The sequence below is a fragment of the Homo sapiens genome, chromosome 10 (genome assembly GCF_000001405.40).
Source record: "Homo sapiens chromosome 10, GRCh38.p14 Primary Assembly".
NCBI lineage: Eukaryota > Metazoa > Chordata > Mammalia > Primates > Hominidae > Homo > Homo sapiens.
Window position 1 is genome coordinate 27,237,145 of NC_000010.11, and position 23,071 is coordinate 27,260,215.

General features: G+C 47.3%; 1 protein-coding gene and 2 pseudogenes across 47 annotated transcripts in view, besides 8 other annotated features; 1 reads left to right on the plus strand and 2 right to left on the minus strand.

The window, feature by feature from the left end:
• ACBD5 (acyl-CoA binding domain containing 5) overlaps positions 1 to 4,967 on the minus strand; it is a 59,274-nt gene extending 54,307 nt beyond the window's left edge. For 10 of the 45 annotated variants that reach the window (XM_017016893.3, XM_017016885.3, XM_017016890.3 and 7 more), the window contains exons 1-2: positions 4,915 to 4,967; positions 3,175 to 3,330 (exon numbers count right to left, since the gene is read on the minus strand). In XM_017016893.3, the coding sequence (XP_016872382.2) occupies positions 3,175 to 3,250 (76 nt within the window). In that variant the 5' untranslated portion in view covers positions 3,251 to 3,330; positions 4,915 to 4,967. 45 annotated transcript variants of the gene reach the window in all.
• Positions 2,705 to 3,207: an enhancer, noted in NCBI's record as "H3K27ac hESC enhancer chr10:27528778-27529280 (GRCh37/hg19 assembly coordinates)". NCBI's record gives its function as "activates a minimal SCP1, AML or CMV promoter by ChIP-STARR-seq in naive H9 embryonic stem cells {active_cell/tissue: H9 hESC(naive)}" and the evidence as "EXISTENCE:reporter gene assay evidence [ECO:0000049][PMID:30033119]".
• Positions 3,165 to 3,424: an enhancer, noted in NCBI's record as "active region_3182". NCBI's record gives its function as "activates an Ori minimal core promoter by ATAC-STARR-seq in GM12878 lymphoblastoid cells {active_cell/tissue: GM12878}" and the evidence as "EXISTENCE:reporter gene assay evidence [ECO:0000049][PMID:35858748]".
• Positions 3,545 to 3,654: a silencer, noted in NCBI's record as "silent region_2245". NCBI's record gives its function as "represses an Ori minimal core promoter by ATAC-STARR-seq in GM12878 lymphoblastoid cells {active_cell/tissue: GM12878}" and the evidence as "EXISTENCE:reporter gene assay evidence [ECO:0000049][PMID:35858748]".
• Positions 4,875 to 5,124: an enhancer, noted in NCBI's record as "active region_3183". NCBI's record gives its function as "activates an Ori minimal core promoter by ATAC-STARR-seq in GM12878 lymphoblastoid cells {active_cell/tissue: GM12878}" and the evidence as "EXISTENCE:reporter gene assay evidence [ECO:0000049][PMID:35858748]".
• Positions 5,255 to 5,364: an enhancer, noted in NCBI's record as "active region_3184". NCBI's record gives its function as "activates an Ori minimal core promoter by ATAC-STARR-seq in GM12878 lymphoblastoid cells {active_cell/tissue: GM12878}" and the evidence as "EXISTENCE:reporter gene assay evidence [ECO:0000049][PMID:35858748]".
• Positions 6,130 to 6,399: an enhancer, noted in NCBI's record as "active region_3185". NCBI's record gives its function as "activates an Ori minimal core promoter by ATAC-STARR-seq in GM12878 lymphoblastoid cells {active_cell/tissue: GM12878}" and the evidence as "EXISTENCE:reporter gene assay evidence [ECO:0000049][PMID:35858748]".
• On the minus strand, positions 8,709 to 15,162 carry LRRC37A6P (leucine rich repeat containing 37 member A6, pseudogene; annotated as a pseudogene). Its single transcript, NR_003525.2, has one exon. The product of NR_003525.2 is annotated as a leucine rich repeat containing 37 member A6, pseudogene (transcript).
• Positions 15,144 to 15,303: an enhancer, noted in NCBI's record as "active region_3186". NCBI's record gives its function as "activates an Ori minimal core promoter by ATAC-STARR-seq in GM12878 lymphoblastoid cells {active_cell/tissue: GM12878}" and the evidence as "EXISTENCE:reporter gene assay evidence [ECO:0000049][PMID:35858748]".
• Positions 15,344 to 15,573: a silencer, noted in NCBI's record as "silent region_2246". NCBI's record gives its function as "represses an Ori minimal core promoter by ATAC-STARR-seq in GM12878 lymphoblastoid cells {active_cell/tissue: GM12878}" and the evidence as "EXISTENCE:reporter gene assay evidence [ECO:0000049][PMID:35858748]".
• ODAD2P1 (outer dynein arm docking complex subunit 2 pseudogene 1) overlaps positions 21,618 to 23,071 on the plus strand; it is a 76,294-nt pseudogene continuing 74,840 nt past the window's right edge. The window contains exon 1 of the transcript NR_138082.1: positions 21,618 to 21,758. The product of NR_138082.1 is annotated as an outer dynein arm docking complex subunit 2 pseudogene 1 (transcript). The remainder of the gene's footprint in view (positions 21,759 to 23,071) is intronic.

Here is a 23,071-nt window from a genome sequence, read left to right on the forward strand (position 1 = left end):
CATCAAAAGTCTAATCTCAAAATATCTTCAGTAAGTCAACCAAATATGTTTATTGGCTTAGGTGAATGATATTAAAAATACAAAAACCGAGAACATTTATTGAGTGTAGTCTGTGTGTAAGACACTCAAGTAAGATTTCTGTCCTCAAGGTGCTCACACATGATGTACTTCATATGTATTTGAAATATTAGCTAAGAATTTTAATTTTAAAAGGTTAAGGTCATACCAAACATAGATGTCATAGGATTCATTACTATTTCAGGCCTTAAATAAGGATTGAGAAACAAGGAACAAAAAACTCCAAGATCTTGCTCTTTGCATAATGATTCAGAGCAAATCAAATGGTTTAAAAGTAGTATTACAAAAATATTTATAATCCATTATAACAAACTTCTGCTTCAATTAATATCAACTTAGTTTCAGGGGATAACAGTATACTGGATGTTGTCCAACACAAGTACCATTTGATAGGATATCTTTTTTTTTTTTTTTTGAGTTGGAGTCTGGCTCTTGTCACCCAGGCTGGAGTACAATGGCGCAATCTCAGCTGACTGCAACCTCCGCCTCCCGAGTTCAAGCGATTTTCCTGCCTCAACCTCCCGAGTAGCTGGGATTACAGGAACTCGCCACTACACTCAGCTAATTTTTGTATTTTTAGTAGAAGTGGGGTTTCACCATGTTGGCCAGGCTGGTCTGGAATTCCTGATCTCAGGGCCTGCCTCGATCTCCCAAAGTGCTGGGATTACAGGTGTGAGCCACCACGCCTGGCCTGATAGGGTATCTTTTTTTTTAAATTTAATTTAATTTAATTTTATTTTATTTTTTCGGAGACGGAGTCTGGCTCTGTCACCCAGGCTGGGGTGTGATCTAGGCTCACTGCAAGCTCCGCCTCCCGGGTTCACGCCATTCTCCTGCCTCAGCCTCCCGAGTAGGTGGGACTACAGGCGCCCACGACCACGCCTGGCTAATTTTTTGTATTTTTAGTAGAGACGGGGTTTCACCGTATTAGCCAGGATGGTCTCAATCTCCTGACCTTGTGATCCGCCAGCCCCGTGATCAGCCCGCCTCAGCATCAGCCTGCCTCGGCCTCCCACAGTGCTGGGATTACAGGCGTGAGCCACCGCACCCGGCCGATAGGGTATGTTAACTTTGCAATACTTTCTTAAATGTTATGTACATACAAACTGTACTTTATACAGGTTTCCTAATAAGTGGTACATAATGTCAACAGGCATAGTGGCCTAGAGACATCAGTCTAGCTTTACCAATTTTCAAAAAACTATAAAAACGTGTGCTTTAGAAGAAAGTATAAACATACTACTTACATAAAACTCTTAGAATCATACCTTTCTATAAACACTAATAATTAGGGACTTAAAAAATCAATACCTAAATAAGTTCATGCTTTTTTTTATATTTTATTTGTTCTTTCTTATCTTTCAGTCCCCCATATGCCCTCCTCCAATAGAATGTTTGAAATTACAAAAGGTTCAGACAACACCATAGAAGGAAAGAAATTACAAATGGAACACTATTTTGTGTATATTTGTTTTTAAAAATTTCTGAATCTGCATTTAATGAATTTTTATTGAATGATGTGTTGAATATTTGTTACCTATAATTATTGAAATTATTGATAATTAATGATAATTAATGAAAACAGAAATCATGATATTAAATACTATAGTAACATATTATTGTTGTATTCAGTTAGTTTTACAACTGTGGCACAGTAGTAGCACCTATAATTACTTTCTAAATATGTTTATTGGGCCGGGCGCGGTGGCTCATGCCTGTAATCCCAGCACTTTGGGTGGCCCAGGAGGGCAGATCACCTGAGGTCGGGAGTTCAATACCAGCCTGACCAACATGGAGAAACCCCGTCTCTACTAAAAATACAAAATTAGCCGGGCATGGTGACGCACGGGTGTAATCCCAGCTGCTGGGTAAGCTGAGGCAGAAGAATCGCTTGAACCTGGGAGGTGGGGGTTGAGGTGAGCTGAGATTGTACCATTGCACTTCAGCCTGGGCAACAAGAGCGGAACTCCATCTCTAAAGAAATAAATATGTTTATTGTGAAATATAATTCATATAATGTAGAAAGATATGAATTGAAAAGTACGTCTTGCTTCTAAGACTCTGCATTTAGAACAGAGAAAAATATTTAATGGCCAAAAACTTCACATTGGTCTATGACATAAAATTACAAATTCAAAAAGCTCTGCAAATCGTGAACAGGGTTAATATGAAGAAAAACCACATCTACTAGTCAAATTGCTGAAAACCGAAGATAGAAAAGAAATCTAAAAAGCAGCCAGAGAAATAGCACATTAAATACAAGAAGGAGATCAGCCACTGGAATGACTTTTTTCTCACCAGCTGCAAAGAAGGTCCAATATGAGTATAAAAAAGAACATTATACAATGGAATAGCAAATAAAAAGGTAGAAAATATATATTTATTAAAATAGAAATTACTTCACAATTGACTATAGTTATTCTTTCTTTTCTGTCCCTTCATATCAAAAGTTTTCAAAACGCTTAAGCTGGTAGACCCTATGAGTGTGTGGCATTAGGCATCCCCAGCCTAGATTTTTGTTTGTTTGTTTGTTTGTTTGTTTGAGATGGAGTCTGGCTCTGTCGCCCAGGCTGGAGTGCAGTGGCACGATATCGGGTCACTGCAACCTCTGCCTCCCGGGTTCAAGCAATTTCCCTGTCTCAGCCTCCCGAGTAGCTGGGACTACAGGCGCACGCCACGAAGCCTGGCTAATTTTCGTATTTTTTAGTAGAGACGGGGTTTCACCATATTGGTCAGGCTGGTCTTGAACTCCTGACCTCAGGTGATCCATCCACCTCGGCCTCCCAAAGTGTTGGGATTACAGGCTTGAGCCACCGCGCCCGGCCCGGATTTATTTTTTAACACACCCAAATCCGCAGTCATTAAGTGACAAGACTTTTGTTTTCAACAATATGAAGTACTTAAAATCTGGATATTAGATTTTTCTCCGGTTTGGAAGATCAAAAGGTAATTAATTCATATTCAATAGCTCCCCTTCCACTACATGGCTCCTACACAGAAAAAAAGGCTAAATAAACAACACTAGAACCAGAAAGTGAAAGGGGGCTTTGGGGCTCTCTGCAGGAGGCGTCTACAGCCGGGGCCCAGCGCACGTACCATTCTTCGGCAAACTCTGGATCACCTTCACGGCCGCCTCAAACCTAGTCTCGTGCACGGATCTCGTGTCCGCCATCTCCAGCTGCCAGTGTTGGCCCCGGTCCCAAGGTCTGTCGGCGGGAATCAGGCAGCAGCAGCACCAGCTTTCCCAAGAGCCTGCATGAAACTGGAACATGGAGCGCAGCCGCGGATCAACATGCCCCAAAAGGAGGAGGCCCGGGAGCGAAGCGGGTCAGTTCCCCTTTGCCCTGCCCTATCCAGGCCACACAGATCGAAGCGGCCCGGCTCCTTCCTCCTCCCCCGGGGCGTGACTAAGGCCACGAATCCGGCCCGCGACGACAGCAAAACAACTCACCGAGAGGAAGAGCATGTCTAGCAGAAGACAGAGGGGGTCCGGGCATCGGTGGCCGCGGAGCCGCTCTCCCACCCTGGGGACCCTGGCGGAGCAGCCACACCCCCCATTCCGCCGGAGTCCGTCTGTCAGTCCGTGCCCTCCCCACAGCCCCGCCCCAGAGTCACCGGAGGACCCACTGGCGCCGCCGCCGCCGCAGCAGCAGTGCAGCAAACCCCACCCACCCGACCCGCCGCCGCGGCAAGGACGCGCGCGGTCCGTCTGTCCCCAGAGGAGGGTCCGGGAAGCGGGGAAAGGGGGCCACAGTCCCGGCTTGGTGCGGGGAGCACACTGTGCGCGCTTTTGTTCAGAAGGGGGAAACCGAGGCCGGACCGATGTGTCCGCTCTGGCAGCCGGGTGGACGAAGTGCGCGCTGGGGATGCGCGGTTGGGTTCTGCACCTGGGCCCAAAGCTGCACGCGACGGCACCGCTGGGCAACAAAAATGACTCTGCGGTCCCCAGCGCCTGCACTCTCCTAAGTTAAGGTTTGAGGAAGTTAAATGGGGCCTAAGCAAAGGGCTTTAAGTCGGGACAGGTTCTGTGAGAAACTCCAGTTCTGCCATTTAAATTATGTGACCTAGGGCAAGTCACTTAGCCTTTCCAGTGGCAATCGTGACACCCACTCTAAAGGGTAGATGGAGAAAAGCATTGGGGACCTTGGATGGAGGTGCTCAGCAGTCCCTGGCCCGCAGGTCTTCGACAGTTTTCGCTGCCCTGAGCCAAGAACGTCCGAGGAGCAGCCGAAGGAGAGAGGAGGTCGCCGGCTCCTAAACTGGGCTGGGACGGAGGGCAACTTCCCCTACACTACCCTTTCCACCCAGCCCCAGGGAGCCAGGCACCTCCAGCGGGATTTAATAGGAGACTGGGCATGGGGACGGCCGGGCACAGTGGCTCACGCCTGTAATCTCGATACTTTGAGAGGTCGAGTGGGGAGGATTGCTTGAGGCCAGGAGTTCAAGACGAGCCTGGCAACATGGCGATACCCTGGCTCTATTTAAGAAACCAATAATTAAAAAAAAAAATAAAAATAGGATACTGGGCGTAGAGGGCGGGGCCAATGAGGAGTCTTTACGGGTCGTCAACCCTAGAAAGGGGGTGCCCTGGGCCTTCAACTTACTAGCGCAACCCCCTGCGTCCTTAGGCATTTGGGAAGTGCCCCAGGCCGAACGTTGGTGGTGGGACTGACTAGGTTGTGGGGGGTGGAGTCCTGTAGCCCGGAAATCCCAAAGTCTCCCGGATGGAAGAGTCGTTTTTGTCAGTTAGGGGGATGGGTTAGGAGGGTTACTAGGAAAAATCTAGGCGCAGATCGTAAGTTACTCTTCCCTCTGAGCCGCGGCGCCGGCATTTACCTTGGTATTGCCGGACAAGGCCTGTCCGGTAATGTCCCCGACGCCCGCCCCTCGCCCTGCCCCGCGGGCTTATGGGAAATGTAGTCCGCCGTTCCGCCGCGCTTCCGGACACGTCCCAGCGGCGTCCGGCGTTCCTGCTAGCTCTTCCGGTTAGGCGTCTCTGTCCCGCGGACGCCGCAGCCGTGCGGCGGAATCCCTCCTTCCTAGCCGGTTGCATTTCGTGCCTCTTTGAAATGCCACATTCGCTTCCAGCTTAAGTGTCTTGAGATTGTCGCGGTGTCTGCAGCTGCGGCTTCTCCAGCGCCCTCCGGAGGCTTTGCTTCGGGTTTGTCTAATACAACACAGGGGGAAATCATTTGATCGTGGACGTTTCACGTTTCTTTGTCTTCAAAAATGAAGAGGACATTTTGTAAAATTATCACACAAAGATGAGAAATAGATTAGAGAACCAACTTTGGGTTGTAAATACTAAAGAATTCCAAATGGTAATGTATGAATGGCTAAAAAGCAGTGACACTTATCTAACGCGTTATTACTTTATTCCATAAAAGGAACAAACCTAAATTGAAGGAATATTCATTTCCCCCTTATTGGATTTAATAGAACCCTTTTCATTTTTAATGGGAAATAATCAATGTGACCTATAGATGTTTCAATTTTTTTTTTAAATAAATAAACCTCTTTAGGGTGATTTCTGGTGGGATTGAGGAAAATGAACGGGTTTAGGGTTATCTTGGCCCAAAGTCTATCTTGGATTTGCCGCTAGTTCACTGTGTGACTGCGTCAGGAAACAAGCTCTGAAAAATTTCGTTTTCTCCAATAAAGTATGTGAAATTACCTAGCATGTAGTAGCCTTCAAGATTTTTGTATTTCCTCTTTTTTGATACTTAGCTGAGCAATAAATATTGGACAGCAGCACCAGGGAAGAATCTGAATCAGGCAGGGAGGATGAGCACTGCCCAGGAGGAAAAAGCGAAAAGGAAAGTGTGCTGAGCAGGTGCCTTGGCGGGGGAGAGAGGAAAAGGAAATGACTTCACACACACACACACACACACGCGCACACACACACAGAGAGAATGAAGTTTCTTTCTGTCTCTTAAGTGATGTGTGAGTGGATGGACAGATTGCCCTCAGCTTTAAGGGCAGTTCAGGATGATCTGTCTTAAGATCGATGCTCTGTGGAATGAGAAAAATGCGCTCTGCAGGGCATGCCCACTGCATGTGCTGGGAGGCTCTCCTACATCCAATGGGCAGATGCGCAGTCTCCACGGAGGCCTCAGGCCTCGGTGTGAGCCAGGGCTGCTTCAAACATGTCGGCTATCTAAAGTAAGTCCCAGCAGGGGTCATTTATTTAAGGACCGTGGTGCTTTCCATGGCTGATTTGCTGGTAAATGACAGGTGTGAGTGTAGTGAACATGTCTTGCCTCCACCTACTTCACCCACCATCCTGTGCATCATGGAAACCTGTCTCGATGATCAGCAGCCATGTGTGGTGGGGTGGAAAGGACAGTCTCCAGAGACAGAATCCTGGGACCATCCCTGACTTTGCAACTTACTAGCTTTCTTGCCACACTATTTAGTTTTTTCAAGCTGTAATTTCCTTAAAATGGGGAATATGATCAATCTCTATCCCACAGAAAATTTGGAGCACATGAGTTCATTCAAGTAAAGTATACCATTAGCAGGCCATAACACAGGCACGAAGAAGGAAATACAATAATTTGTGCGTGTGTGTGGTGGGTTAAGTGTCACATCTTCATAAAATTCAACCCTACCCCCATTTCAGTCACTTGTCAGAGAGGAAAGCCAAGAAGCCAATTCCAAGAGTTTAGTGTGACATCAGTGTCTAGGTCATCTAAATCTGGCCATCTTTCTGCCATACCTATCTAAGTCCTGTGGCAATTAACACAGTAGAGCTATATTTGCATAAGTAACTTTATAGTCTCTGTGTATATGCTGAGCAGAGCTGATTCATTTTACAATCATTTGCACTTGTCATAGAGCTCCTTCAATACTACTACCCAAACATGTTGGACAAAGAAAAGAAGATAGACACTTTTGTTTTGTTGCTTGTTTTCTACTGATTTTGTAATACTGTATTTTCAACTTCTTAGCGACATTGGCCCCATGTTAAAGGCCTATGTCACACAGCCTGTTGTGAATAAGAAGTTTTTTTTAACAGTTGCCCTTGCAATAATAAACTTCTATTTGCATTGAAAGCAATGTTATTGCCCTTTCCATATAAAATTGTACTCATAGATCATTTTAAAGTAACACATTTTTTTTTCTTAAAGAGATGAAATTGGAAAATAAAGTGGTAATAGTGTGTTTAATTTGTAAGTAAACCCTAGGAACACAATTCATTTTACTTTGTTATTATCACAAAACAGTAAAAATTTATCTTGTTTTTAACAGATTCCGATTATTAACAAATCCGATTTGTATCCTATTTATGTATTTGTCACATACGTGAAAGTCGTCTTTTTCTTCTTGCTAGAGACCTAAACTGTGATGATCAAATTGAACAGTATAAACAAGCAATTAGATGATTAATTTGCTACAACCTACTCCGAAATATGAGACATTTTATCCACTTATGTATATTCAAGGCCAAGGTTATCAATAAAATACAGGCAGAAGTTATGCCGAATGAAAAATAAGACATACACCTGTGTAATCGTCAAGTCTGTTTTTTTCTTATTTTCTCACATCATTCAAGTCATCAAAATTTTATTGCTTATTACATGACAAGAAATACAATGTTAGACATGAAATGAATAAAGAAAATTCTCTATCAAGAAATTTACAATGTGGAGAAAAAGATGCAGTAATATAACATTATAATACAATATAATCCAATGCATATCATATACTGCAATGAATTCTATGAAAGATTTGTTAACAAAGTGCTTGGGGAAAACAGAGGAGGTATAGTGACTCCTGATCCTGGCTTCTGGAGAAGACCAGAAAATATTAGAGAGGATGAAGCATATTTACTGACCTTGAGGAACAAGGAGGATACATTCTGTGGGAAAGAGGTGGGCTGGGCACAGTGACTCACATGTGTAATCTGAGCACTTTGGGAGGCCAAGGCAGGAGGATCGCTTGCACCCAGGAGTTTGAGGCTACAGTGAGTTATGATCACACCACTGCACTCCAGCCTGGCCAGTAGAGCAAGGCCCTGTCATTACCAAAAAAAAAAAAGTTGGGCATTCCACATAGACCACATGCAAAGGCAGAGGAGGAACAGAGTTTTGGGAGATAAAGAGGATTTGGAAGGAACATAGAATGTATGACAAAAATTAGTGAGATGAGAATTTGGAACAAAACTTGGAGGCACCTTGTCAGAAATTCAGACGTTATCATGGAGGCTTTAGAGAGCCATTACCTAAATTTGAACAGGGCTGTGGTGATACTTTTTTCTAAAAAAAACAACACAACAAAATTGAGAGCACTTGGGAGGAAGAATTTGGAAATGGCAGAATCACCATAAAGGTGGAAAATATTTACTTTTGACTAAATTGCTAAATTGAGGCATGTTAAATAGAGAATTCATGAGTGTGTTTTTAAAAGAGCCTAAGCTTCTTGAATTATTATTCACTTTAGTTAGAATCACTGCAGTTCTATGCATAAAATTAAGACAAAAAGACAAAACAGATACATTGAAAGTTAAGAAAACTGAACAAGTAGATTAGTCTATTCTTCCAGTGTCTTGTGGACTTCTCAGGATGATAAAGAAATTCTACTATGTCACTGTTAGTGCACAATATATAATATACTAATGATTTTTTTTCACCAAGAACAATGGTATTTAATTGTAAAATCTCCACCCCCTGAGGATATGTTTTCAGGTCTGGGTGATTAATTAGACTGGGAAACAAAGGAGGGAACGACGGCCCTGTGCTTCCTCCGCCGGCTGCCTCTGTGGATGCGTGGGCCGCTGGCTTCAGTCCTGCTTTTCTTTCTGATGGCCCTTGTTGTTTACGCTAAGTATTTTTGCAGGACGCCTGAGGTGGGCTGGGGTCACTCTGTGTTCTCCTCCCGTGGCAGGGCTTCACTCTCCTCCCCGTTCTCTGTTGGGGTTTCGCTGTCCTCATCAGATGGGGATCTCATCCTCATTAGATGACTTCTTGTGCAGCTTCCATGCCTGGTTATTTACTCTTGTGGCACTGAGAGGTTTGTACATATCTTTAAGCCAGAGTGGCTGTCTGAATGAGAAAGATTCATCCTGAGTCTCACTTCGTGAAGAGCATCTCCTCTGTGGCAGAAATCTGAAAATGCCCCTTGAGAATCCTTCTCCATCTTCTTGTGATGACCATCGGTGAGAATAAATCTCAATGAGGCAAAAAATTATAATCAAAGTCGTTAGTATTTCGGTCACAAATATTGCCAAGATGAGTTTGTTGTTATAGCCATATCCTGGAACTTCTTTTGTGAGCTCACTCGACTTCTGCTCTTTCTGTTCATTCTGGGCTTCTGTGCTGTCATTGATATAGTTCTCAGTTTTCCACTGGTCCGTATCCCATTCTGCCTTGGACACCTTTACTTCTTGCTGCTCACTGAGAAGCTTCATCAGGAGGCCTGTCCTGGAGATGAGCTTGGCACAGGTCAATTGCACATGGGTCTCAGAGCAGTCCATCTTCAAGGTCCGGATAACATGAGAAATGAGCCTTCTCACATTGTTGTTGGGGATGAGGGAACGTGGCTGTTGGGTTAGCTGAATTTCAAACTGATCACCTGGGGACGAGAACAATGGGTAATTGAAGCTTTTGGGCTCGGGGGACAGGTCAGTGCCCACGTTGTTGTATTCCCATTTTGTCTCAGTTTGCTTAATAGTTGGCCCTAAGTTGAATGCAGTCCCAGCGGAATCTGCCTCAGGAGGATGATTGTGGGTTGTGTTTTCAGAGATGGTGCCTTATGGCCTAGTAGTGTTTTCCATAAAAATGTTTTCTTCAAAGGCATTTCTTGCAGTTGTGTTTTTTACATTAGTGTTTTCTATAAAACGTTCTGAAGGAGCAAATACTTCTGGAAAAGGATTTTCCTGAGGACTCGGGTCTCCTAAAGATGAAAAAGCCCTTTGGGAAAGGGAATTTATGAGGCTCTTCACTGCAGAGAATGGAGGCCTCTTTGCGAGCATCAGTCTAATGAGGTAATTTTTCTTTCTGAACTTTGGACTCTTTTTGGCCTTGAGTGTTCTGTGGGCCATGCGGGAGCAAGTTTTATGAAAGCAGTATTTTTTTCTGGAATGTACGATTGGTTTAGCAGCCTTCATATTTTTAACTCTAGCCTTTGCATTTTCTAAAATGAAAATGGTGTAGGTTAAGTCTTTTGCTCTGTCTCTGACCTGAGGTAGGGCTTTTGCAGGGGTGGAGGCAGAAGGCACACCCATGGAGAAGGGTTTCAGCACAGAGGAGACTGCGGCCTTATGCTCTTGGATGAATGAAGGCTTGGTGTAGATGGTGTTTCCCACTAACTTGTCAGGCCCCTGCTCTATGTGAGGCTGTCTCAGCTCCCTTGGGGCTGGACTCCCGAGCCTTTTTTCTTTGGCAGCGTTCTCTGCAAATGCCTGGGCACCCTGTTCCCTCCTGATCCTCTGCTTTCCACCTCTTTGAAGTGCCTTTTCAAGATGCTCCTTGGGCCCATGAGGACTCTGTTCACTCTCTGCAGGTTTTTGCCTACACTTTGAATCTTTGCCAGGCTGCTTTCCTGTGGTTAGATAGTTTCTAATTTCTTTTCAAATATTTGGCATTTAAATTTGTTACCTAGAAGGCTGGACTGCATAAGCATGGCAGTTTTTTCTTCCCTTTTAACTTCATCAATTTTTTCTTGTATTTCTGCATCTAACATACTTTCCAGCAAATACAGCTTTCTCAATTTATTTTCATAAGTTGAGTTGTTGGATGCAGGTTGAAGAGAGGGGCTCTTTGTATTGTTATTCAAAATACCCAGGAGCCTATCTCCATCTTGCACATTTGAAGAAAGCAGATTAATGAAGGGTAACAACATTGATTTCACATCTAGATTTACCGCTGAGAAATAAAGCAAGATGTAACTTAGTGCACTGATAACATCCCTCTCATCATTGGTGTCTAGCTGCCCACTCCCAAAGCCTGACAAATTGATGCCATTGCTGTCTGAGGCTGCCTCCGGCTCAATAGTCAGCTCAGTGCTCGTGTGCTTCTTCTGGGCTTGTAACACCTTCATGAACACTCCTGGATTCTCTACAGATGCTTCTTCAGACAATGTATGGTGTTTGTCAGAAATGCACTGCTGCAATGCAGCTTGACTGTCTTGCAGACAGCCTCAGTGCTATTTTTAAATTGGCAGAGGCAGCAGGTCATATGGCTAGGTAAGATCAGTTTCTCCAGTTCAACAGTCATCACGAGAATGTTCTCAATTGTTGTAAGTGGGACTTGCATTGTTCCCGTGTCTAGATATTTAAATGCTGACAATTTAAAGAGATATGGATCTTCAACAGTTGTCAGAGGATTGCGATTGAGAATTAACTTGTGTAAAAACTGCATTCCATGCCAGGCCTGAAATGTTCCAAAGCTCAGTTCTGTGAGTAAATTGCAACCAAGATTTATAAACTGCAAAAATGGTAGTGGTTCAAATGTATGTCTTTCGATAGACTGTATTTTATTGCAGGATAAATCTAAATACTGGAGGGATAGCAGGCCTTTAAATGAATCGTTATGTAATTCAGTCAAATAATTTTCATTGAGAATTAGTTTCCCGGTCCAACTGTATGCTTTCCATACATTTCCATCAATGTAAGAAATATAGTTTCCTTGGAAATTTAAGATGGTGAAGGTGCCATGGTAGGTGTTGGGCTCTGGCACAGGCACTTGGCAGAGCCTCTGTTTTGGGCTGAGATCAATACACGACAGCGTCTCACCTCCGCAGGTACAGAGCTCACATATGTTGGTGCTTGTGGAGGCCTACTGTTCCTCTGGTGCGGTTAAAGCCTTATTTTGGGCGTAACTTTCAGACTGCACCAGTGAATCCTGAGTAGGTTCTAGTTCAGTAGGTGGACCTGTGACTTCAGTCAGTTTTCGATGCAGAGTCTGAACCTGGTCTGGATGAGGAGCTGTAGTCTTCTCCAGGGCTGTAGAATGTCCAGTCTCTGTAGTGGGCTCTGGAGTTATGGCAAGCCCCAGGTCTGGAGGCTGAGTTGAGGTCTCCTCCGTGGTTGGAGACGGTTTAACCTCTGTAGTAGGTTCTGTAGTTATGGTAAGCTCCAGGTCCAGAGGTGGAAGTGTGACTTGAGTCAGGTTTGAATGCTGAGCCCGACCCTTGTCTGAAGGTGGAAGTGTCACCTCAGGGTGTTCTGGAGGAGGAGCTGTAGTCGTCAGGGCTGCAGAAGGTTCAATCTCTGTTGTGGATTCTGGAGTGGTGGTAAGCCCCAAATCCAAAGGTTGAACTGTGGCTTGAGTCAGGTTTGAATGCTGAGTCTGAACCTGGTCTGGATGTGGAAGTGTCACCTTAGGGTGCTTTGGAGGAACTACATTCTTCTTCAGGGGTGTAGAATGTCCAACCTCCGTAGTGGGTTCTGGAGTGATGGTAAGTCCCAGGTCCAAAGGTTGAACTGTAATGCTGGGTGACATTGGATGCTGAGCCTGATCCTGACCTGGTGTTGGAATTGTAACCTCTTGATATACTGGAAGTTGGGGTACAACTTTCTTAGGAGGATGAGTTGGGGTCTCCTGCATGGTTGGAGAAAGTTCAACTTCTGTTGTGGATTCTGGAGTGATGGTAAGCCCCAGGTCCAAAGGTTGAACTGTGGCTTGAGTCAGGTTTGAATGTTCCGGAGATTGAGCTACAACTACATTAGGGAGCTCTGGAGTCTCAGCTGGGGCCTCCTGCTGGGTTAGAGAAGACTTACCCTTCTCAGCAGTCTGTGGATGCTCAGCTGCAGCTTCCTGCTGGGTTGGAGAGGGGTTCTCATTATTAATAGGTTCCGGAGATTGAACTGAAGTCTCCTGTTGAATTGCTAAAGGTCCAGCATCTTCCGGTGACTCTGGAGGAAGAGGTGGGCCCCCGTGCTGGATAGTGGGAGGTTCTACATCATTACCTGGTCCTGAGAGCTGAGCTGTAGCCTCCTGGTGGACTGGAGAAGTTCCCACCTCTGCACTAGGCTCTGTTGCTATGGTGAGCTGCATGTCTGGAGGCTTAACAGAGACATTGGGCAAATCTGAATGCTGAGTTTGATGGTGACCTGGAGGTGAAACGGTGACTTCATGATGTTCTGGAGGCTGAGCTGGGGTCTCCTGCTGGGCTGGAGAAGATTCAACCTCCCCAGAAGGCTGAGCTGGCTGCTCCTGCTCACTGGGGGAAAGTTCAGGCTCTACAGGAGGACCTGGAGGCTCAGTTGGGGCCTCCTCTTGGTTTGCAGGAGGTTCCATCTCTTCTGGAGGCTGAGCTGGGGTCTCCTGCCGAGTCTGAGAAGATTCAACCTCCCCAGAAGACTCAGAAGGCTGAGCTGGCTGCTCCTGCTCACTAATGGAAAGTTCACGCTCCGTAGGATGACATGGAGGCTCGGTTGGGGCCTACTGTTGGGTTGCAGAAGGTTCCACCTCCTCTGGAAACTGAACTGGAGCCTCCTGCTGGGCTTGGGAAGATTCTTTCTCATTGGTAGGCTCCGAAGTTATGGTAACCTCCACATCTGCAGGTTTAACTGTAATGTTGGGCAAGTTATAATGAGCTTGATCCTCACCTGGAGGTTGAACTGTCACCTCATGATTTGGTAGAGTTTGAGCTAGACTCTCCATAGAGGACTCTGGAGGCAGAGCTGGGGCCTCCTGCTGGGTTGAAGAAGGAGGTGTGGAAGCTGCTCTGGGGCTTCTTCCTGGAGTGAAGAGGACTGGATATCTTCAAGGGTCTCTGGATTTTGAGTTTCAGGCTCTAGATGGAATTGAGAAAGTCCAACTTACTCAGGGGACCCTGGAGGCTCATCTGAGTTCACCCGGAGTTCTGGAGGCAGGCTGCCAGGATACTGTGTATCCATACTCGAATATTCATCCTGCAAAGTCTGTTTCTAACGCTGTGGTTTGGATAATTGCTGTGGAATTCCAACAATATCAGCAATGCTCCAATGCTGAGCTAGATCTTTCTTCAGGTTCCTGGGTGAAACAAACAATAAATAAATTTGGTTGGTTTTGAAACCTTACTGTCTAGTGGAACAAGTATTTCATCTGCCTGATGACCTGCAGCCCCATCTAGATCTGCAGTTTGAACCTTACTTTTGAGGCGAGGAGGCTGAACTAGGGTCTGGTTCTGATCCCTGTCCAGCATTGGAACCACCTCTGGGAGCCTTTCTTGCAGAGTCAGCTTGTCATTGAAATCCTGGTGTGCAACTGAGAACTGCCCTGGCCCTAGGGGCAGCTCTCCAGCTGAATCCGTGTCCAGGAATGGAACCAAATTTTCAGTTGATTCCTGGGGTGGGGCTGACATCTGCGAGGAAGCAGAGGGCCCCAGGTAATCAAAGTCCCCCGGATCTGCTGGGGCAATAGGGGCATGGGGAGATTCCCATGGGAGATGGGAGGAGCGGAAGACCAGGGCTCAGGCGGCCCCCGGGGGTTAGAGGTCAGCTGGAGCAGATCCTTGACCCACTCCAGAGGCTGAGCCTCCTTGACTAGTAGCCACAATAGTTGCCACGTGAGCAGGGGCCATAGGCCCCAGAAACACAGCCGGGACATGACACATGCTGGCACCGCGCAGTGAGCGAGAGCCATTCTGGCAGCCCCGAAACGCTCGTGTCCCTTATAAGCGTGCGCCCTGCCCTGTCTTTATGACACCTTTATTTAATGCCACCTTTATTAGGCTCGGGTCTAAATCTGCTCCATGTCACCATGGCAATCTTATGTCACAATCCTGTCCAAGCACCCCTTCCCATCCCGCCCCCCCGGAACCCCCTCCCCTCCCCTTAGCGAGGAAGGATTTGGGTCGCAGACCTGGGTGGTCCCAGGACTCCAGGGCCTGCAGTGGTGGGGTAGGGTGGGGTGGGGGCACTGCAGAGCTTCCCAAGGAAGTCAGGCGACCTCGCCTCCGGATATTCAGAAGTGCTAGTCCACTTCTGGCAGCCTGAACTCTTCCTCCTTTTTTTGAAATCCGAGAATACTCTTCCTTCCAGGGAGAGAAACTGACCTGTAATCCCAGCTACTCAGGAGGCTGAAGCAGGAGAATCGCTTGAACCTGGGAGTCAGAGGCTGCAGTGAAGCGAGATCGCAACATTGCATTCCAGCCTGAAGTGCTGCTGTAGGTACTATGGCTCCTGAAGTTGCTTTCCCTGCAGTAACTGGAGTCCTCCTCGTCGTCTTCCAGCTCCTCCGGGTAAGGGTAATCGAAGTCATCGTCGTCCTCCTCCATCTCATCCTCCTAGTTGTCCTCAGACTCCTGGGTCTCCTCAGCGTCGCCGTACTCCTCCTCCTCGCTCTTGAGGTCATCGTATACCACTTTGTTAACGGCCGAGGGCCTCGGTGGTGCACGCCAGGTGGCTGCCCCAGCCCCGCCGCCCCCGCCGCCGCCGCCAGGGGCGCTGGTGTGTGTGGTGTGGTGTGCGTGTGTGGGGGCGGAAGGCAGCGGCAGCTTCCGCCAACTACTGCTGCCCACCCTGGCCGAGCTCAGCCGCGTCTTGGGCGCCACCTCATCCTGGCGGCGGCCCACCTGCCCCGGCTGCTACTGCGTTGCCGCTAGCTGAGCCCCCGATGGGTTCGGACGTGTGCGGCGGCGGCGGCTGAGACCGGGGGAGAAGGGAAAGCGGACGAGGAGCGGCGGGCGCAGTGGAGGCAGTGGGGAGCGCCGGGGCCTGACGAGGAGGCCCGAGGGGCCGGGCGCCTGGGCGGTAGAGACCCGGCCTGCCGAAGCGGGTGGAGGGAGAAGGCTCAATCCGAATCGCTGGGGCCCCACTCTGGATCACCTTCAGCCGCCATCTTGTTTCTTCCCGTTCAATATACTAATGATTCTTAAATCCATGTAGATTTCAAGAAAAAAAAATCAATATATATATAGTCTTAATTCCAGCCGCGCATGGTGGCTCACGCCTGTAATCCCAGTACTTTGGGAGGCCGAGGCGGGTGGATCACGAGGTCAAGAGATCAAGACCATCCTTGCCAACATGGTGAAACCCCGTCTCTATTAAAAATACAAAAATTAGTCGGGTATGGTGGTGGGCGCCTGCAGTCCCAGCTACTCGGGAGGCTGAGGCAGAAGGATCACTTGAACCCGGGAGGCGGAGGTTGCAGTTGAGCCACTGTACTCCAGCCTGGCGACAGAGCTATACTCTGTCTCAAAAAAAAAAAAAAAAAAGCCGCAGTTGGACTCATGGAGCCCTGGGGAAATCTTCTCAAGATGCAAAGGAGGTACTATGCCAAAAGAGACATTCTGAAAGCAGGAGGCATCATCTTTTATACATATTCAATCACAGATCTTTATATAGTAGTTCTTCATAGGAAGAATCTACAGGAAACTGAGAGGTAGAAACAGGAGTGTCCCCAGTTACAAATGCTCCCAATAATCTTCTAAGGTTTTCCTGTGCTTCTCATCACTGCAGCTCTGGGATCTGGAAGGCAGGCAAGTCCTGTTCTCTAAAGGTTATGGGTTGGGTGCTTTAGATTCTTTGGGTCCAGTAACCAAAAGACAAGAAATACATCACCACTGGGGCAGGATTCATATACTCTGATCAGCAGGAGGAGGCGGGGCTGCTTTTCCACAAAAGAAGCAGAGATAATCTCTCTCTCTCTCACACACACACACACTCCCCACCCCCATAGTCTCTCTTTCACACATGCACACACACACATACACACACACACTCTCTCCACACCCTCTCTGTCTCTTTTTTGTTATTAATTTCCTGTTGGAGTGCAGTGGCAGGATTTCGGCTCACTGCAACCTCCGCCTCCCGGGTTCAAGCGATTCTACTGCCTCAGCTTCCCGAGTAGCTGGGACTACAGGCACAGGCCACCACACCCGGCTAATTTTTGTATTTTCAGTAGAGACGGGGTTTCACCATGTTGGCCAGGATGGTCTCAATCTCTTGAGCTCGTGATCTGCCAGCCTCGGCCTCCCAAAGTGCTGCGATTACAGGCATAAGCCGCTGCGCCCAGCCTATCTTCCTTAATTCTATTGTGTGTTGAGAAGTTTATTAACTTTCCCAAATAGTCGATTATTTATTTATAGGTTAGATTTATCTTCTTATAGTAATTTCACTTGGAGGATAAATTTTATTTCTTTTTATTACACTTTTAAGTTCTGGGATACGTGTACAGAACGTGCAGGTTGGTTGCACAGGTATACGTGTGGCATGGTGGTTTGCTGCATCCATCAACCCGTCATCTACATTAGGTATTTCTCCTAATGTTATCCCTCCTGTACTTCCCCACTCCCCGACAGGCCCCAGTATGTGGTGTTCCACTCCTTGTGTCCATGTGTTCTCATTGTTCAACTCCCACTTATGAGTGATGTATCTCAAAATAATAAGAGCTATTTATGACAAACCCATAGCCAATATTATACTGAATGGGCAAAAGCTGGAAGCATTCCATTTGAAAACCGACACAAGACAAGGATGCCCTCTCTCACCACTCCTATTCTACATAGTATTGGGCGTTCTGGCCAAGGCAATCAGGCAAGAGAAAGAAATAAAGGGTATTCAAATAGGAAGAGAGGAAGTCAAATTGTCTCTGTTTGCAGATGACATGATTGTATATTTGGAAAACCCATCGTCTCAGCCCAAAATCTCCTTAAGCTGATAAGCAACTTCAGCAAAGTCTCAGGATACAAAAGCAATGTGCAGAAATCTCAAGCATTCTATACACCAAAAATAGAGATCCAAATCATGAGTGAACTCCCATTCACAATTGCTACAAAGAGAATAAAATACCTAGGAATCCAACTTACAAGGGATGTGAAGGACCTCTTCAAGGAGAACTACAAACCACTGCTCAAGGAAATAAAAGAGGACATAAACAAATGGAAACATTCCATGCTCATGAATAGGAAGAATCAATATCATGAAAATGGCCATACTGCCCAAAGTAATTTACAGATTCAATGCTATCCCCATCAAGCTACCATTGATTTGCTTCACAGAATTAGAAAAAACTACTTTAAATTTCTTATGGAACCAAAAAAGAGCCCGTATAGCCAAGACAATCCTGAGCAAAAAGAACAAAGCTGGAGGCATCACGCTACCTGACTTCAAACTATACTACAAGAAGGGTAAGTTTTAAAAATGTGAAGCACAATAATTTTTTGTTGACCTTTAAAAAGTATATTTTTAATTTGTAAGGTACAGTGTTAGATATTTTTACTAAAATAACACAATCATTTGCACACTCTCTCATCTAATTACTCTGTTTTAGTTCCTATGAACCTGATTATAAACCAACAATATTTCTTTTGGTCTATTTATAAGCTTTTGTTTTTATATTTGAATAAACATTTAATAAAAAAACCATTGTATAATTTTAAATTATAGACTCTACATTTACTCAAATAAAAATTTCTTCTCTCTTCTGATAAACCTATTTCTGACTAGCATTTCTCTAGTTTATATATCTATAATCACAGCTGTTTCCTATACTAATATAATCTTTTCTGCACATATATTGAGGGTGTCTTATTTAAAATATATCAAAAAATATTTTAACAACCTAAGAGTTATTGTTTTCTAATTGTGGAGTATAGTTTTTATTTTTTTCATTCTTTATTGTTGAAGATGCTTATTCTTTTTCATAATTTACTATACTTTTTTTTTTTTTTGAGACAGAGTTTTTGTGCTGTTGCCCAGGCTATATACCTATTAGCATAAGCCCCTTTCTCACTGGTTGCAAGCCTAAGCTTCTCTGCAGGTAGAAGCTCCTTTAGGCGAAACTATTCAATTCCCAACAACTTTTGCACTTTCAAAAAGAGAAGAAAAGAACCCAAAACAGGCCAGGTGCAGTGGCTCACACCTGTAATCCTAGCATTTTGGGAGGCCTAGGTGGGCGGATCACTTGAGGTCAGGAGTTTGAGACCAGCCTGGCCCACATGGTGAAACCCTGTCTCTACTAAAAGTACAAAAATTAGCTGGGCATGGTGGCACATGTTTGTAATCCCAGCTACTCAGGAAGCTGAGGCCGGAGGATCACTTGAACCCAGGAGGCAAAGGTTGCAGTGAGCTGGGAGGCACAGGTTGCAGTAAGCAGAGATAGCACTCCAGCCTAGGTGACAGAGCCAGACTCCATCCCCCTGAGAGACGACAACACGCTAGCAGCCCTTGCTCGCTCTCCGTGCCTCCTTGGCCTCAGCCTCCACTCTGGCCACGCTTGAGGAGCCCTTCAGCCCGCCGTTGCACTGTGGGAGCCCCTGTCTGGGCTGGCCGAGGCCTGAGCCAGCTCCCTCTGCTTGCCGGAAGGTATGGAGGGAGAGGCCTGGAGGGAGAGGCGCGGGTGGGAACTGGGGCTGCGCAGAGCACTCGCGGGCCAGCGTGAGTTCCGGGTGGGCGTGGGCTCGGCGGGACCTGCACTTGGAGTGCCCAGGGCAGTGAGGGGCTTAGCACCAAGCCAGCAGCTGCGGAGGATGCCCCGGGACCCCTAGCACTGCCGGCCTGCGCGCACCACTCTCGAATTCTCACTGGGCCTCAGCCGCCTACCCGCGGGTCAGGGCTCAGGACCTGCAGCCTGCGGCATATGCCCAAATCCGCCCCGCGCCCCCCACCCCCGCTCCCGCCCCGCCCCCCACCCCCGCTCCCGCCCCGCCCCCCTCCCCCGCTCCCGCCCCGCCCCCCCCGCTCCCGCCCCGCTTCCCCCACCCCCTCTTCCCCCGCTCCTCCCCTGGCTCCTCCCCGCCATGGGCGCACTGCCCACTGCTCTGCAGCGCCAGATCCCATTGACCCCTCAAGGGCTAAGGAGTGCCCGCGCACCGCCTGGGACTGAAGGTCAGCTCCGCCCGCGGCCCATGGCGCAGGATCCACCAGGCCTATGTAAAGCCAGCTGGGCTCCTGAGTCGCTTGGCGACTTGGAGAACTTTTATGTCTAGCTGGAGGATTGTATATGCACCAATCAGCACTCTACGTCTAGCTCCAGGGGTTTGTGGATGCACCAATCAGCACTCTGTATCTAGCTAATCTGGTGGGGACTTGGAGAACTTTTATGTCAAGCTAGAGAATTGTAAACGCACCAATCAGCACTGTGTCTAGCTAAAGGTTTGTAAATGCACCAATCAGTGCTCTGTGTCTAGCTAATCTAGTGGGGACTTGGAGAACTTTTATGTCTAGCTAGAGGATTGTAAATGCACCAATCAGCACTCTGTGTCTAGCTCAGGGATTGTAAACACTAATCAGCACCCTGTCAAAACGGACCAATCAGCTCTCTGTAAAACGGACCAATCAGCTTTCTTTAAAATGGACCAATCTGCAGGATGTGGGTGGGGCCAGATAAGGGAATAAAAGCAGGTTGCCTGCGCTAGCCACCGCAGCTTACTGTGGTCGTCTTCCTGACGGTGTGTTTTGTTCTTTCCGCTTTTTGCAATAACAGTTGTTGCTGCTGAGTCTTTGGGGCTGTGCTGTCTTTGTGAGCTGTAACACTCACTGTGAAGGTTTGCGGCTTCACTCCTGAAGGCAGTGAGACCACTAACCCACCAGGAGGAACAAACAACTCCAGACGCGCACCGTTTTTATGAACTGTAACACTCATCATGAAGGTCTGCAGCTTCGTTCCTGAGGCCAGCAAGACCACAAACCCACCGGAAGGAAGAAACTCCAGACACGTCTGAACATCTAAAGGAACAAACTCCAGACGCACCATCTTTAAGAACTGTTAACACTCACCGCCAGGGTCTGCGGCTTCATTCTTCAAGTCAGCGAGGCCAAGAACCCAGCAATTCTGGACACACCCGACCCTCCAAAAAACTGAAAATAAAGGACAAATATTTAGGTCTCATATCCCTACATGTTTGCAGGAAGGTTCTGCTTTGAGCTGTATCCGTATAATGACAGGTGATATCCTGAGGACATTCCACATTTGCCTCTTTGGCATCTGGAAAAGAATCCAGTTTCAATTCCGAAACATCCCATCATCGTAAATGCTCTGGCACTGGCCTCTAAGCACAGTCTCCCTCCACCCCAAGATAGTGCATTCTTCCCCACCCACCCCCGCCTCAATATTCCTACTCCCTTGTCCCTCACTGGTTTTCCAGTTGGGACTCTTGCTGGTAGGGTGTCTAGAGGTGGGGTCAAAACCATCTTAATGGACAAAGGTAAAAGCCATTTAAAAAAAGAGATGGGGGACGTGTTTTCATTTCACTCCGATCCTCTGCCCTATTGAAGAGCGCTTTCTGCTTTCCAGGTGAGTATCAGAGTATTCTAACATATTCGTTTTTTGGAGAGAAACATGTAAGCCTCAAATATCCTAGGAGAAGCCCTATGCTATTTGGGGGTACTCAGTGAAGATTTCAGGTACATACAACGCACTTGTCTGGAAGCCTGTGGAGAAATGTAAAAAGGGTTTCTAAGGAATATTTTCTCTTTCCTTTCTGCTCTATTTTAAGTTTCTGCTAACTTGTCCCCGACCCCACAACTGCTCACGACCTTCGTGAAGGTCAACCTTTCCTACCGCGTGGAGTGAGTTGGGATGCATACTGGGGAGTTGTATAAGAGTGTCTGAGAAAGGGAAATGCAGAGTTGAATGAAAGTGTTTCCCGGGAGGGGCCGAGTGGAAAGCAGCAGGTGGCCGGCGCGGGTGGAACCCAGCGCGGGCGCAGAGCGTCTCTGGCGTGGGCATTCGGTGCAGCGAGTCCGCGGGAATCTTGGATGCGCGGAGGTCCCCGGACCGCGGTGACGGACGGGGCTGCGATCGTGGCCGGTGAGACTGGGAGCGGAGGGCTGGGGCGGCGCCCGAGGGAGGGCACAAACCCGGGAGGCCTCAGCCGACGGCGCAGCTTTACGCGGCCGTAGGGCGCCCGGGGTTGAGTGGTGTCCTAGCAACAGGTGGGCGCCGACTGCGGCGGGGCAGGGCGCTGCAGGTGACTTCGGCCGGGGGTCCCCAGGCCCACCCCATGGGGGCTCTGCAGCCGGCCGCGTAGATCGGGAAACCGGGGCCGCTCTCCGGCCCCGCCGCTGCTGCTCTCGCCTGCTTCCCTTTCCCTCCCGGGGGCCGAGACCTGCCCCCTCCCCTTTTCTCTCCCAGGCCCATCTCGCTCCTTCCTCCCCGCGAGACCCTGCCTCGGCCCTCGGTTGGGGACCGTCTGCTCCTCAGTCCCTGCGCCCCTCTCTGCACTACCCTGGACCCATCACCTCCCGGATCGGTTCTCCACTTACCCCGCTGTTTCCCTGTCTCTCCTTCCGCGAGCCCATCTTTCTCCTTCGCCCTTGCAGCTCGGCCTCCCGCTCCCAACGTGGTGTTCGCCGTCACTTCCCACCTCGTCCCTTTACCGAATCCATTCTTGGAAACTTAGGGTCTCAGCTCTGACGCCCCCTTCTTGTAACGAGTCTGGTGGGGGCCGTCATCCCACACTAGGCTTAGCTTTGATTTTACTTAGGGCCCTGTTCATGCCAGTTCTAAAAGTTCGATTTTCTGTAGGTCTTACTGAGTAACTTCTGCATTCTCAGAAAGCCGTGTATGCGCGGACTCCCGGTGGATGTTACCAATCACATTCATAGATCTCAGAGCTGATGGCTGCCTTTCCATAGCCCCCTAAAGAATTCGGTCGTGCTTCTGCATAAGTGTTAACGACATGATTCCCGAATGGGTTTTATTTCACTAATGATGCTGGAAGCTTAAAATTGACCATTAGAAAGAAAAACAATCTATGGTATCTATTGGATAGAGAGAAAAATGAGTGTTAACTGATTCCCAGTTTATGTAAACACGTAATCAAAGCTTTTTCCTTTTTAATCTTTAAACTTATTTTCTTTACTTCAAAGGTATGTGCTATTTACATGGATTCATTTTAACTATGGTTCTTAAGCCAAAAGAGCTAATGGATTGGCAATGGGTAGGAACTGGGGAGCAACTGCTTTTGATTTTAAAATCTTAGTTTTGAGTTATACCGACCATTTTGGAACACCATTTATTTATTTTCTAATAACATTGAACTTGCCTTCTGGATTGTCATAGGCCACCCTGAGGGTTTTTTTTTTTTTTTTTTCTTTTTGAGATGGAGTCCACTCTGTCGC